General features: G+C 39.4%; 1 protein-coding gene across 10 annotated transcripts in view; it reads right to left on the minus strand.

The window, feature by feature from the left end:
* NEDD4 (NEDD4 E3 ubiquitin protein ligase) overlaps positions 1-15,798 on the minus strand; it is a 166,696-nt gene that overhangs the window by 23,422 nt on the left and 127,476 nt on the right. For 9 of the 10 annotated variants that reach the window (NR_104302.2, NM_198400.3, NM_001284340.1 and 6 more), the window contains 6 exons: positions 12,575-12,741; positions 10,323-10,440; positions 10,069-10,236; positions 5,793-5,858; positions 2,086-2,205; positions 204-404 (listed from right to left, as the gene is read on the minus strand). Coding sequence is in view for 9 of the 10 variants with exons in the window: in NM_198400.3 (NP_940682.2) it covers positions 204-404; positions 2,086-2,205; positions 5,793-5,858; positions 10,069-10,236; positions 10,323-10,440; positions 12,575-12,741 (840 nt within the window). In the remaining variant the exon portion in view is untranslated. The remainder of the gene's footprint in view (positions 1-203; positions 405-2,085; positions 2,206-5,792; positions 5,859-10,068; positions 10,237-10,322; positions 10,441-12,574; positions 12,742-15,798) is intronic. The other variant, NM_001284339.1, reaches the window with a different exon arrangement.

Here is a 15,798-nt window from a genome sequence, read left to right on the forward strand (position 1 = left end):
TCTCCATCATAATCCAAAACAATATTAAAAAGACGCATAAGCATTCTCCTGAATACAAATAATATTATTAAGAATTCAATATACCTTTCAATGAATATTAGGAAACATAGGTTATACTAATACATACTTAAAGATTTTAAGGAACTATACATAAGAGATGATTATTGTTGTTATAAATTTAAATGGAAAAGTATCAAAGTTACCCAGGTGGTGGTTTTAGTGTTGTGGTCAATAAAGAAAGGCCTCCCATTTGGTGCATGCCGGACTTCCCAGCCTTTAGGAAGGAATCCTTGCTCAATTTCAGATGGCTGGGTCACCTGCTGGCCTGAATCACTGGTGGAGGCTTGTGATTGAGGGCCTGCAGAACTCTGGCTTGAGGTCAGCTGACTGGTCTCCACTGTGGCCTAGCACATTAATGAAATCATATTGTAATATTTTATAGAGAGAACTCACAAATAGATGTAGTTAAAAAGGTAACTTAACCTGCAAATAGAATACACACCCTCCATTAAAGAGACTCTAAATATTTGAGGCTCATTTTCAAATGTAGTTATGGCATGTTAATATTTTCCCAACATTTCAATAATGCATTACATTTAATAACATTTTTCCAATAAATTATTTTGTAAAACTTTATTTTTACAGTAATTTATAATTTTTCAACTAATTCTCAAGCAGTAAGATGTTAGTTAACAGTATGCTGTGGGTGCATCTGACTGAAGGAGCGAGGTCTGCAAGCTCAAGCCCTAGCTGCAAGGGGAGCTCTCGTGCCTATAGGAGGAGGTCGTCTTTGTTTTCCCAAAACTCACAGGATGGGGAATTCCTCATACACAGAAGTAGATTCAAATGATGGGCAGACAAAATGAATGGCAAATATCTACCACAGAAATGGATAATTGAAATGCAATATATTCATGATGGAATATTAGTAGTTAAGAGAAATACACTGGATCTATAAATAACAACATGGACAGAGCTTTAAAACAATGTTAAGCAAAAAGGTGTAGACTTACAGGGCCACAACATCAATGCAAAGTTTTTTTTTTATCAAGCAGCACCTCATTCTATAAAATAAAATGAGTGTTCTCTCGTTGCAAAATTAGAAACACAGGCATATAAACAATATTTTACATTTTCTTTTCTGTTTTTTTTTTTCAGATGGAGTTTCGCTCTTGTTGCCCAGGCTGGAGTGCAATGGCATAATCTTGGCTCACCGCAACCTCCGCCTCCCAGGTTCAAGCGATTCTCCTGCCTCAGCCTCCTAAGTAGATGGGATTACAGGCATGCGCCACCACGCCTGGCTAATTTTTGTATTTTTGGTAGAGATGGGGTTTCTCCATGTTGGTCAGGCTGATCTTGAACTCCCGACCTCAGGTGATCCTCCCACCTTGGCCTCCCAAAGTGCTGGGATTATAGGCATGAGCCACCTTGCCCGGCCCAGCATAAACTTCTTTAATAGATCCCAATCGCCAAGATTATCTGTTAGTTAAAATAATGATCCTAACTATTCAAATTACAAAAATACCCAAAGACGAGATCATTTGCTTTTTCCTCTTATTCTCATTTGTACTTGTTTTATATAATAACAAGTGGTAATTCGTGTATATTAGAGATTCATAGGAAAAGGTAGACACTTAACATCAGTGTCAGAATATAAATAATTAGAAGATGCTATGACCAGGCACGGTGGCTCATGCCTATAATCCCAGCACTTTAGGAGGCCGAGGTGGGTGGATCACCTGAGGTCAGGAGTTTCAGATCAGCCTGGCCAACATGGTGAAACCCTGTCTCTACTAAAAATACAAAAATTAGCCAGGTGTGGTGGCGGGCACCTGTAATCCCATCTACTCAGGAGGGTGAGGCAGGAGAATCGCTTGAACCCAGGAGGCAGAGGTGCAGTGAGCCACGATCACGCCATTGGACTCCAGCCTGGGCGACAATACTGAGACTCCATCTCAAAAAAATAAAAAAAAAAAAGAAGGTGGTAGAAGTATCCAGTGTATCCTACAAAGTGATGTAATAGTTTACATAGGGATGTGACAGTTTAAATCCTGTAAGAAAGCAAGTTGATAGATTACAGGATACCTGTACAGTGGGCTTTGTCCAAGTAGTCGTTCTGGAATTGTGATCTACATAATATGATCTTCCTCTTTCATCTTGTTTTTCTTCCCAACCTGGTGGTAATCCAGATGAAGTAGGCAAAAGCTAAAGTGAAGAATAACAGAAGAATTAAATACATCAAGTTTAAGAATCCTTCTATCACCCCCAAAAGTTCCCTCTGTCCCTATGTCTACTCTCAGCCCCAAGCAACCACTCATCTGCTCTGTTACTACAGTTTTGCCTTTTCTAGAAATATATATATATATATATATATATATATATATATTTACCTTTTCTGAGAGAGTGAGAGAGAGAGAGAGAGACAGAGAGAGACAGGGTCTTGCTCTGTTGCCCAGGCTGGAGTGCAGTGGTATGATCTCGGCTCACTGCAACCTCTGCTTCCTGGGTTCAAGCTATTCTTGTGCCTCAGCCTCCTGAGTAGCTGGGATTACAGGCATGTGCTAACACACCCAGCTAATTTTTTTATTTTTAGTATCAACAGGGTTTCACCATATTGGCCAGGCTGGTCTCGAACTCCTAATCTCAAGTGATCCACCTGCCTTGGCCTCCCCAAAGTGCTGGGATTACAGGCATGAGCCACTGTGCCTGGCCAGAAGAATTAAATATTAATAAGAAAGAATCCTTTAAAAAACACCACATCCCTTCTTCACTACTTGTTTGCTTTAAAACAAATTATATTTTATTTTGAACTAAAACCATGTATTATAATAAAAATGGGTAAATTATACATTTTAGTGAAATAAACCACATTTTAAATATCTTAAAATGTGCAAGATAAAGTGTACAGTACTTCACTTGGGAAAAAAAACACTAGAACAATAATAATGAGAGTGATAACAACCCTAATAAAACATACCAACAATAACAAGCACGTGTCCTGTTTAACACAGATAACGTCATTTACTTCCCACCTGAATTTCAATGAGATAATTACTAATACTGGCTCATTTTACTGGTGAGTAAACAGAAGCTTACAATATGGAAGTAACTTGTTACTATACTTGATCTTAGCCAAAAGGCCGAGAGTAATGGAAGTAACTTGTTAAGCGACATGGCTTCTAAGGAATGGAGCTGAGATTTGAACCCAGGTAATCTAACAACAGAAATCATGCTTATCTGCTGAATCAACAGTTACTCCTGCCTTGTTTCTCTAAAAGCTAGGAGAATGCTATTTATCATAGTTTGTTACAAATGAATAAAGAGAAGTCTGGTTATTTCCAGGCTTACTTAAAATAGTCCTAAATCCAGGCTGGGCATGATGGCTCACCCCTGTAATCCCAGCACTTTTGGGGGCTGAGGTGGGCGGATCACCTGAGTTCAGGAAGTCGAGGCCAGCCTGGCCAACATGGTGAAAACTTGTCTCTACTAAAAGTACAAAAAAATTAGCTAGGCATGGTGGTGGGCACCTGTAATCCCAGCTACTCAGGAGGCTGAGACAGAAGAACTGCTTGAACCGGGAGGCAGAGGTTACAGTGAGCTGAGATTGCACCATTGCACTCTAGCCTGGGCAACTGAGCAAAACTCCGACTCAAAATAACAGAAATTAGCTGGGCATGGTGGTGCACGTCTGTAGTCCAGCTACTCGGGAGGCTGAAGCAGGAGAATCACTTGAACCCAGGAGGCAGAGGTTGCAGTGAGCCGAGATCGCCTGGGCACTCCAGCCTGGACAACAGAGCAAGACTCCATCCCCCTCCCCTCCGAAAAAAAAAAGTCCTAAATCTGGCCTTCCTGTTGTCATTTTGAACCAGATAAGCCCTGGTTTGGTGTGGCTCCCTAAGGTGGCTTACAACATAAAAACCATCACCACCAGTCTCTACAATGAAGACACCACTTACTAAATACACGGGAGTCCTACGTACTTTGGGGACAGTTGTGATGAGCTGATACATCACAAAATGATGCATTTAAATGCTGCCCAGTTCTACAAGTGTCCATCAGCTGGTGAATAGATAAATGTAGTGGATATATCTCTACAGTGGAATACCGTGCACTAATAGAGGCATGCAATAACATGGGTCTATGTGAAAAACAGCATGCTAAGTGAAAAAGGTCAGACACGTAAGCCCACACCCTACGAGTCCCTTTACACGAGATTTCTAGAAAAGGCAAAAACTGTAGCAATAGAGAGCAGATGAGCGGTTGCTTGCAACTGAGAGTAGGCATAGGGATTGAGGGAACTTTTGGGGGTGACAGAAGTTTCTTAAACTTGATTGTGGTGATGTCTCCATAACTGTATAAATTTACAAAAACTCTTTAATTGTATGATCAAACATGGGTGGATTTTATGGTATGTAAATTATACTCCAAGAAAGCTCTTAAAAAAAACCCCAATCAATGTATTGAGGGAAAAAAAAGGCATGGAAACAACTTTTCTGGTACTAAAATATAAATCATCTCGAGATTCTGCTGCTCATCCGGTCCATCTAAAATTGTGTCTTGGGTGAATGTCTGTCAGTCAATGAGAACTTCCACATATTCATTGTATAGAGGACATTATAACGTGCAGAGGGAAAAACACCATGGAACTCAGCTTGAGCGGGCTCTGATCTAATGGAGGAGGCTGGACAGATGACAGTGAGTGAGAGTAAGGCTAGCGATGATAGTCTTTCAATGGCATCTGTCCTCTTGTTGATGGTCAGTACTGACCAGAGCAATGATGCATAGGTGGGCGACCTCTCATTCCTCAGCACAGGATCTGTGTCCCTTTCTTAGTGCAGGGTGTTATTTAGACAGATAACCCACTCATGGGATGAGGATTTTGGAGACTCTGCATTCCTGTGCTAGAACATACCCTACTTTTCAAAGCTGATATCTAGACTGCCATTCAAAGTTCCAGATGGTTGGGGAAGAAAATGAGAAAGCCATTCCAAGTGGGGAAATGGAATGCACACAGACTCAGAAGCGGGAGAGAATCAGGACATGGGAACAGTCTGCTTGGAAGAAAAAGCATAGACAGGAATGAAGGCAGCAGGAGGCTTCTGTTGGGGGATAAGGAGAAGGGTAGGCTGAAGAGGCTGGGAGCCTGGGAGTTTTACTTTGGTTTCAAAAACAAGTAGGGCTTCTGGAAAACAGAGACAAACTCAGTAGTGAGGCTTGTGTTAGGAAGAGGATGGAGGCAGGGTTAAGGTCCAAGCTGCCATCCAGGCTGTGGCTGGGACAGCACTGAGCAGGAAGCAGAAGGCCTTAGTAGACTGGTGGATGTGATATTGCAGGGAAGAAACAGACCAAGGACTGATAAACTCCAGCCTGGCTGCCGGGCATGTGAATGCCAGTGCACGCCTGAGTGATGAAACCCTGGCTATTCTTCATGTACAGGGCAGACATGGCTGCTGGATGCCATGTGCATGTGCAGAACATCAGCAAATGGACACAGTGATCCTGAATTGTATGCCGTATGCAGCGGATCACCTCTAGCCAGCACAGCACTTCAACTGACAAGCCCAGATACCACCCACAGTCACCAGCATGCAGAGACTTTGCTTTTAACATGGGAGAGACGGTTCTCCATGTTTTGTCTTTAAGCCCCTTCCCTGAACATCACCACCTGGAGCCTACATTCTGTGCTGTATTGGCTCCCTGTAAGGCAAACGTTCACACTCAATCTTCCAAAAAATAAAAAGAGATGCTGAGTTTTATATTTTTATTGATTGATGGGAGAGGGTAAAACTCACCACAGGAAGTGTAGGTTGTTCCTCAAAAGTATAGGCTTGTAAGCTGCCTCTTCTGCTGGAATGATTCTTGTGAAAAAACAAGACAACAGAAGAATACCTTGATATTTGTGATTTGCCTTTGAGTGACAGCTAAGGTAGTGAGGGTAAATATGACAGGGCAGAAGAGAGAAGGCTGGCTAGGATGCAAATGTTGAGAGTGCAGGCTGAGTCATGTGGTCGCTCTCAGCCCCCTACGTGGACACCTTCACACATCCAGCTCCCATGCCCCCCGTGCTGGACTGCCTCCTGGACACCTTCTCTTGAATGTTTCACAGAAACCATTCTCAAATACACTCCCTCTCCACTTTAGTTACTAGTTTTATTGTTGTTTTAACTTCAAGTTTCATCTTTTGTCACTTTGATTACAATGGCAGCAATATCCTAAGAGGTTTCCCCGTTGCAAGTCTTACTTCCTTAAGTCCATTCTCCATGCTGCACGCTGCAGGCTCAGAGCATCCTGCAATGCACAGCCAGTCCTGTCCTTCTGGAGCTGAAGTCAATGACAACACAGAAAACAATGCTTCCTGAACACCACGACCTGCCTCTTCCTGACTTCTTCAGCCACTTCCCACTTCGCAATCTACCCCCTGGACATTCCAGACTACTTGTTTCCTGGAAATCTCATGTTCTTTCTTTCCTTATGTTTTTCTATACATGCTATTATCACTATCTGAAATATCTTAGTTTTGTTATTTAATGACATCAAAATTTACAATGCACATACAAATTGAATCAGAATATCCACTGTAGTACTGTTTATAATAGTACTGTAAACAATCTAAAGTCTTTCAATAGGAGACTGGTGAAATGCCTTAAGGGTTACTTGTACAATGGAATATGCCAGAGTTTAATGACTGTTTTAGTTGGTTTTTAAAGGAGTACATCTATCTGTACTGAAATGGTTCAATGTCTAAGAGACAGCAAGTGAAAAAAGCAAGTTACCAAAAAGTATGTTTAAGATGATCTCAGGTTAAAAAATCATCTACAAATATATGTGTATGCATGCATGTTTATGAATATACAGAAAAAGTTTCTATATATGTATGCATGTGATTTATCACCAGCAAATCAGTATCATTTATTCTTTAGGTCTTTGACCACTAATAGTAACTGAGGGAGCATATATTAGTGGTAAGATAGAAGGTTTAATTTTTATTTATTATTTATTTATTTTTTTGAGACAGAGTCTTGCTCTGATGCCCAGGCTGGAGTATGGTGGTGCGATCTTGTCTCACTGCAACCTCCACCTCCCAGGTTCAAGCAATTCTCTTGCCTCAGCCTACCGAGTAGCTGGGATTACAGACACACGCCACTGCACTCGGCTAATTTTTGTATTAGAGACGGGGTTTCGCCATGTTGGCCAGGCTGGTCTCGAACTCCTAACCTCATGTGATCTGCCTGCCTTGACCTCTCAAAGTGCTGGGATTACAGGTGTGAGCCAAGATGCCCAGTCTTAAATTTTATTTTATATACCTAAATACAATCTCAATTTGTAACCATAACCATACAGTGCTTTAAAAATATTTTTTAAAATAGGTAACACTCATACATGTTATAAAATTCAAAAGGAGCCTGGGAAACAATACTATACCAAGTCTTTACAAAAATTTTTTAAAAAAATTAGCAGGGGTACAATGGCATGTGCCTGTAGTACCAGCTACTCCAGAGGCTGAGGTGGGAGAATCCCTTGAGCCCAGAAATTTGAGGTTGCAGTGGGCTATGATCATGCTACTGCACTCCAGCCTGGGCGACAGAGTGAGACCCTATCTCAAAAAAACAAAAGGTACAAACAATATATATCCTGCTCATTCTTTGCCTCTCTTCAGAGGCAAGCAAAGTTATTAGTTTCCTGTTTAGTCCTCGAGTAAATTATACACATATTTATGCTCTGCATTTAAATAATTTACATAAATTCTGGTGTAACAAACACACTGTTCTGTACCTTGCTGTTTTTCATTTACCAGCATCTCTTAGGGATTGTTCCATCCAACATATACACTCGAGCCCACCTTGTTCTCTTCAATGGCTGCATAGTATTACACTATATGGTTGCCATGTATTACTTTAAGTAAAAAAAATACCAGGAAGAAGGGGAATGGGATCGTATGTGATTTATCATCAGCAAATCAATATGGTTTATTCTTTTTTTTTTCTTGAGACGGAGTTTCACTCTGTCACCCAAGCTGAAGTGCAATGGTGCAATCTCGGCTCACTGCAACCTCTGCCTCTTGGGTTCAAGCCATTCTTCCAATCTCAGCCTCCCAAGTAGCTGGGATTACAGGTGTGCACCACCACACCGAGCTAATTTTTGTATTTTTAGTAGTGACAAGGTTTCGCCATGTTGCCCAGGCTGGTCTTGAACTCCTGACTTCAACCCATCTATAATCCCAGCCTCCCAAAGTGCTGGGATTACAGGCGTGAGCCACCACGCCTGGCCTAATGTAGTTTAGGTCTTTGACTGACCTGTCCCACTCCCCTGTGAAAAAATGAAATGAATGGAAGACAGAACAGACAAATGGAAGAAAGGAAGGGCAGGAGGCAGGCAGGCGGATTTACTGGCAGATATTCATATTCACGTACAACTATCTACTGTGAAGCTTCTTGAAGAAGATGCTAGAGCAGAGGTTAGCACACATTTCCTGTTAAGATCCAGACAGTAAATACTGGCTGTGGGCCATATGGTTGCTGCTGTAACTACTTTATTCAGATGATGTCGTGTGAAAGCAGAGATGGGCAATACCAAAACAAATGATGTGGCTGTATTCCAATGGTAATTATTCATAACAGGCAGCTGCTGATTTGGCCCACCGGTTGTAGTTTGCTTTCCTCTGCACTAGAATGTAAGTCCCATGAAGGCAGGAGATATTGTTAATTTTATTGACTGATGTATCCTCAGTAACTAGCATATAGTACTCTGCATATATGTGATCAGCTCTCATTAAATATTTACTAACTAAATGAAAGGCAGGGAAACCTCAACTGGAAATGACAAATAGCATCCTCAGAGAATAATCTTTGTCTTCTACTCAATCTCCCTTGATGATACATATTAGACAGCTAGCTATGAAGTTCTCATCGTGGAAGCATATGCTGGGATACTTTATTCTGAACCCTATGGACAACAGTTTTTACAGTGGTGGCTGAAGTGAAAATGTCATCTATCTCCTTGTTTAGTCAAAGTATATCAGTTCTTATTCATATATACCTGTTGGTGACATCTGTGATATAATGTTAAAACTTCAGGCCAGAAGCAGTGGCTCATGCCTGTAATCCCAGCACTTTGGGAGTCTGAGGCAGGTGGATCACTTGAGGCCAGGAGTTCAAGACTAGCCTGGCCAACAGGGTGAAACTCCTCCATCTCTACTAAAAATACAAAAATTAGCTGGGCGTGGTGGTGTGCGCCTGTAATCTCAGCTATTCAGGAGGCTGAGGCATGAGAATCGCCTGAAGCTGGAGACGGAGTTTGCAGTAAGCCGAGATAGCACCACTGCACTCCAGTCTAGGTGACAGAGTGAGATGTCTCAAAACAAACAAACAAACAAGCAAACAAAAAACCAACTTCAGCATAACTGGGAGAGAGAAAAGCAGTCCCTAACATCCAAGAGCTGGCCTGGCACTCATAGGTAAGATCAAGACAAAATCAAGACCACTCTGTAATCGTGGCTGAATATAGACAAAACATGAACATTGTCCAAGCCACAAAATACCAAACATTTCCCCATCCTGGCAAATGTGAGTGACTGTTCTACTTTGCTAATCATAGCTTTAGCCTCACTACAGATAAGATTTGAGATACAAAATCATAGAATTATCCCTGCTTCCCAACAGCATCTCATGTAGAGCAAAGTCCTGCTTCCTAAAACCCTCTTCAAAATCACCTAACAGGAGCCCAAATCCCTGAAGTCTTTTCTAACATTCTGCTACCAAAACACCAATGGTGCGTGTTCTCCCTTGCTGAAATGAATAATAAACCCAACTTGTTCAATGACAAATGTGTCCCTAGTGATTTTTGACTGGAGGGCACTGACATAATGGAAATTTGGATGCCATGACTCTGGTCCATACTACTAATGAGGATATTTGAAAAATGACCATGTTGTAAAGTCCCAAGGTCCCTAATGTATTATTACATATTATTGCATTTAAGACAAAATTTTACATAAAAGTTAGTTGTTGAATAGTATAATATGCATAATATAAACTACTGAAGCCGTAACAAAATCTAAGAGCATCTTACTGAGCTCGATGCTGGCTGGCTCACGGCTGAATTTCCAAAAATGGTGAGTCTGGCATTCAATTCTTCTGCAAGATGAGTTGGAACATCCAAGTTACTTGACGGTGGAGGTGATGGGAAGGCCTGGTTGCTATACATGGTGGCTTCATCTTCTCTTATAATTTCCCAGTTCTAAAATGAACAGAATAAGCTTGAGCCACACATACTTTATTGCTATAGCATGTGTCTTTCAAGGAGAACTAGGAAACTACTTATACCTCGGAAGACTCTCGGTTGTCAACACTTTCTGTTTCCTCGGATATCTGCCGCCTGGTGGTAAATGCACGTTGTGCTTGCAGTTGAATGTTGCCATTCTCAGCATCTGTTAGGTTGTCCCTATATTGGAAGTATAAAAAGCCATCATCCATGTCTTAAGTAGTTAAAATGATTGTCAAAGATTCTGTGATCATTGGGAAAAAAATCTACATTACATCAATAAAAAAATTTATTGTCTTTGACCAAAGGCTATTTCAACATGCAAAGATTCAATCATGGGTAGGCAGACTGGTATATTTAGAGTACCTTACGGAGTTTAAGGTTTTGTGAAAAGGTATAACATGTCTGATTTGATATTTTAGTTTGTCACTATGTCTAGGATAATGTCCAACACATATAGGTACTCAAAAATATTTGTTGAATGAATAAATATCAGAGCGCTTCATAGATTATTTCATTGTATTATTTTGCCATGTTATTATAAGAGTAATAGAGTTACACATACATACATCTTTGTGAATCAGATAGTACATTTTCTAGAATTGGTCTTAAGCCAGGAGTAGAGTACTCCATGCATGAATGTGAAGGGCAGAATGAAAGATGGTGTAAGAACTTTATAATGAAAAGCTTAATGGTTTAGGAATTACATATCTATTAGTAATGGTATCTGTTTTTCGTAATATACAGTCATGGGCCTGTCCTGAAAAAGGTAATAGTAAAGATTTGTCTGAGCTTAGGAGAGGTACAATAAATCAGATTGGACGGTTAATGAGTATTAAAAAAAACAGAAAGAATGAATAAGACCTAGTATTTAATAGCTTAACAGGTGACTACAGTCAATAATAATTTAATTGTACATTTAAAAACAACCAGAAGACTATAATTGGATTGTTTGTAACAAAAAGGATAAAGGCTTGTGAGGATGGATACCCCATTTTACATGATGTGATTATTATGCCTTGCATGCCTGTATCAAAACCTCTCATGTACCCCACAAACATATATACCTACTAGGGACCCACAGAAATTAAAATTAAAAAAAATCAGATTGAACACCCTTACCCCAGTCATTTATATTATTCTAATTATTTGCATTTAATATAACCAGTCTATCAGATCAAGAATTTTGTTCAAATATTTAATAATAAAATTACTGTTTATTTAATGCGACATGAGCTCAGGCTAGTCAGAAGACCAGTTCTTACTGTACCGTAGCTAAAGAAAACATAATTTTGATACATGGCTCTAAGGGAATGCTTCAGTTTTTTTCCCCCTAAATATATGATTTTGGCTACCTGAAAATGACATCAGCCACAGTGAAAGAACTGTGATTTTGCTCATGTAAGGCTTGCCATAATACTGAGGTATGCAACAGCGCAATTCTACAGAATTTTATAGTGTCTTCAGCTTTGCAGTCTGTACGTCACTCTATGAAGACTGAAGCTTCTGTGCCATGAAGTACTTGAATTGCTGATTTGTTTTGGAAGGATTTGAGAACAGAAAATATCTGTAAAAGTGCTTGGCATATATCAGGCACAAAATATCATAGCCAAAAATTAGGAGGCTAATGAACACATTAAAAAATTACGAGTATGTTTCAAACAGAAGACTAAAGGAAGACTTTATAAGACTATATGGAAGGAAAAATGGAAGGGGATTTGAGAATAAATATGAATAATGGGAGATTTTATAAATGTATATACAGTCTAATAATAAAAAAAATCACTGAGGAGACAGAAGTTAGAATATGTTGAAAGTCATTCCGTCCTTGATCTGTGCGTGCTGGAAGTTATGTGGACATTGACCAGACTGTCAAATGCGCGTTTAACGTAATACCCTTATTATTGAGTCCTTTATATTTTACAAATAATTTATATTTTAAAAATAGAGTACTATAGAAATTAACATTTTATTACATTTTAATAACAAACTACAAGAATTCTCCAAGACTTCTAATTCAGCCTAAAAATAAAAATCTACCATTTGTGGCTACATAAAATTAAAAACCTATTAAAATTAAGACGCAATTAAAAGGGTAGTATCTAGAGTCAAGTAATTTTGAATATTATCAAGTCATTTAAAAAACGAAACAGCAGAGTTAGGATTTTTAAAGTCCTGGGCAATAAAAATCCTAGTATTCTTATAGTTTATGGATCACTATACTGTTATGAATCCATCTGAGACATGACTTCAAAATGAAAATTCGTAGTTAAAGTGTTTCCAGATTAAAATTGTGAAAGCCATCAGCACATACTGAGGGGTTGGTCTTTTCCACTGTGTTCTTCTAGATTCATGGTTTACATAATAGGTCCTTCCAAGGATATCCTGCCTCTCTTCCCACCCTGGAGGTAGAGGAGAAGGTTCTTGTTGTTGCTGCAAATGGCAAGCAGCATCTGGTTGGTCCAAAACAACCCAGCCAGGCTGAAAAACAGGATGGCAGCAATTAAGTTTACGCATGATTTTTTTAACTTTCTAAATTATATGCTAAAGGAAATTTAAAAAGAGATTTATTATATCAAGTTTTAGAAATTATGCATAGACAGAATAAACAATCCTCAACTTTTAAGACCATAATGTAAATACTTTATGATAATGAAGACTCTTTTTGCAAAAATGATAACCATTTAAATTTTGTTTAAAATTGTCTAAAAATTTTTCAAAAAAAACTTTAAAGGCACAAGCCTGTAAAGTTTCCACCAGGTTCTTCCTGGGTGACAGAACCAGATCCCATCTCAAAACAACAATAAAACAGAACTTTAAAACAAATCTATTTAAAATTTTCATAACAAAAAAGTAATAAAAGTATGTGAGGTGATTTAATGAGATTAATTAGCCTGATTTAATCATTTTGCATTGTAAGTATATATCAAAACATCACATTGTCCTCCATAAATATATACAATTATTGTCAATCAAAAATAAAATTTTAAAAAATCTAATAGAAAAAAAGGACAAAAAATCGTTTAAATAAACAACCACGGAAAGTTGGAAAGTACTGAGAAATTGAGAAGTATAGTTTAAACTACTAGTGTAATCTTAGGCTGTTCTCTAAATTATCAACTGAATGAAGGGCAAGGATTATTTCTTATTGGTCATTGTCTTTCCTACAGAGAAAGCACCTTGCTTACGGTAGAAATCAATAACTATCTGACACATGGAAAAAATCATTTGATAAAGGTCAAATATACAAAGGGGCAAGATGGGGAAGGCAAATGATTTAGAAATAACTGCTACAGTGAACTCTCTAGTGATGGAAAAGTCATTCTCATTCCCTTGTCTGATTTCTCTCTTTCTCCTCTGGACCAAGGCAAGGCATTTTATCAAGTCATAAAACAGCCAAAGAAAGATTTTTAAAAAATGCACTGAGAAGTTTGGTTTCTCAGAGATTAACAAGGGGCAAAATTAACATAAAGCCTTAGGGCAGTTAAAGTAAGGAATTGATAGAAAAGAGTAGCAAGAGTTAATGCTTTTATATGAGAAACCTCACAAAAGAAAAGGCAGTAGGTCAAAGATTCTATTAAATACTGATTGGTTAGGAAAGCATTAGAAACTGAAATAAACTGGTGAAGAAAACTTTAAAATGCTCCCAAAAGGACACAAAAGAAGACCTAAATAAGGGAAAGACATAGTCTGTTCTTGGCTGGGAAGACTCAGTCTCACAAAGGTGTCAATTCTTCCCAAGTTAATCTATAAATTTGCCAAGATTCCAACAAAACTGTATTATGATTAAAAAAAAAAATAGGCCAGGTGCGGTGGCTCAGGCCTATAATTCCAGCACTTTGGGAGGCCGAGGCGGGCAGATCACTTGAAGTAGGGAGTTTGAGACCAGCCTGACCAACATGGAGAAACCCCATCTCTACTAAAAATACAAAATTAGCCAGGTGTGGTGGCGCATGCCTGTAAATCCCAGTTATTCGGGAGGCTGAGGCAGGAGAATCACTTGAACCCGAGAGGCGGAGGTGATGGTGAGCCGAAATCACGCCATTGCACTCCAGCCTGGACAACAAGAGTGAAACTCTGTCTCATAAGAAAAAAAAAAAAAAAAGATACGAGGCAACTCTCAAGTTCAACAGAAACATAAACAAGCAGGAATAAGCAGCACAATTTTTAAAAAGAAAAGCAAGAAGTGAAGATCAACCCTACCAGATAAAAACACATTATAAATGACAACAATTAAAGCTGTGTGGTTCTGGTGCATGCATCGACAGGCAGCTCAATAGATTTGCCCAGAAAGAAACTCAACTTTATAGGAATTCCGGCCAGGCACAGTGGTTCATGCCTGCAATCTCAGCACTTTGGGAAGCTGAGGTGAGGGGGTCACTTGAGGTCAGGAGTTTGAGACCAGCCTGGCCAACATGGTGAAACCCCATCTCTACTAAAAATACAAAAATTAGCCGGGCATGGTGGCGGGCGCCTGTAATCCCAGCTACTCGAGAGGCTGGGGCAGGAGAATTGCTTGAGCCCAGGAGGCAGAGGTTGCAGTGAGCTGAGATCGCACCACTGCATACCAGCCTGGGCGATAGAGCAAGACTCTGTCTCAAAAAAAAAAAAAAAAAAAAACTTTATAGGAATTTAGAATATGATAAAGACATTTGAAATCTGTGGCAAAATACGCAGATTACTTAGAAAATGGGCACCCATTTGGAAAAAACTTCACTTGAATTCCTACCTCATGCCTTATATCAGGATAAGTTACAGACTGAATAATATCTAAATGTTTAAAAGTGAAACCAAAAAGTAGTAGTAACAAACTTTTGAAAATTTTAGAAATATATTTTAAAAGTGGGACACTGTTAAGTATGACACCAAACCTTGAAGGCATGAAAGAGAAGATCCATAAATTTGATAACAAAACACCCACATTTGTATATGGCCAAAACTACTAAATAACATTAAAAAAAAAAAGACCAAATGACAAAGTGGCAAACATTTTTGGTGCTTTGATAACTGACACAGAATAATTTCCTTAGATACACAGAGCTTCTGTTCTAGGCCTGGAGATCAGCAGTAAATGACTGCTGTGTGACAGGCAGTGGACGGCTTCCAAGATGGAAGAGAATTCTTCCACGTTGGAAGGCTAGACCTGAAAACGAGGCCTCAGGGAAAAGAGTTGGGAAGGAAAGGAATGTTTTTTGGTAGCAGGGAGAAATGGATAGGGGTTTCTGCAGCAAGGCTGATCTAGTTTGGCTAGCTCTGTATAGAAGGTGACGAGTAGTGGAGTAGGAAGATGACAGAATAAATTATTTTGGGAGAAAAGGTCTGGAGGGGAATTTCTCTCTTTCTTCTCTCTCTCAACAGGGTCTCATTCTGACACCCAGGTTGGAGTGCAGTGGTGCCATCACAGCTCACTGCAGCCTTGACCTCTTGAGCTCAAGCAATCTTCCACCTCAGGCTTTAGGTGTGTACTACCATCCCAAGCTAATTTTTAATTTTTTTGTAGAGATGGGGTCTCGTTATGTTGCCCAGGCTGGTCTCAAA

Source organism: Homo sapiens, chromosome 15, assembly GCF_000001405.40.
Source record: "Homo sapiens chromosome 15, GRCh38.p14 Primary Assembly".
NCBI lineage: Eukaryota > Metazoa > Chordata > Mammalia > Primates > Hominidae > Homo > Homo sapiens.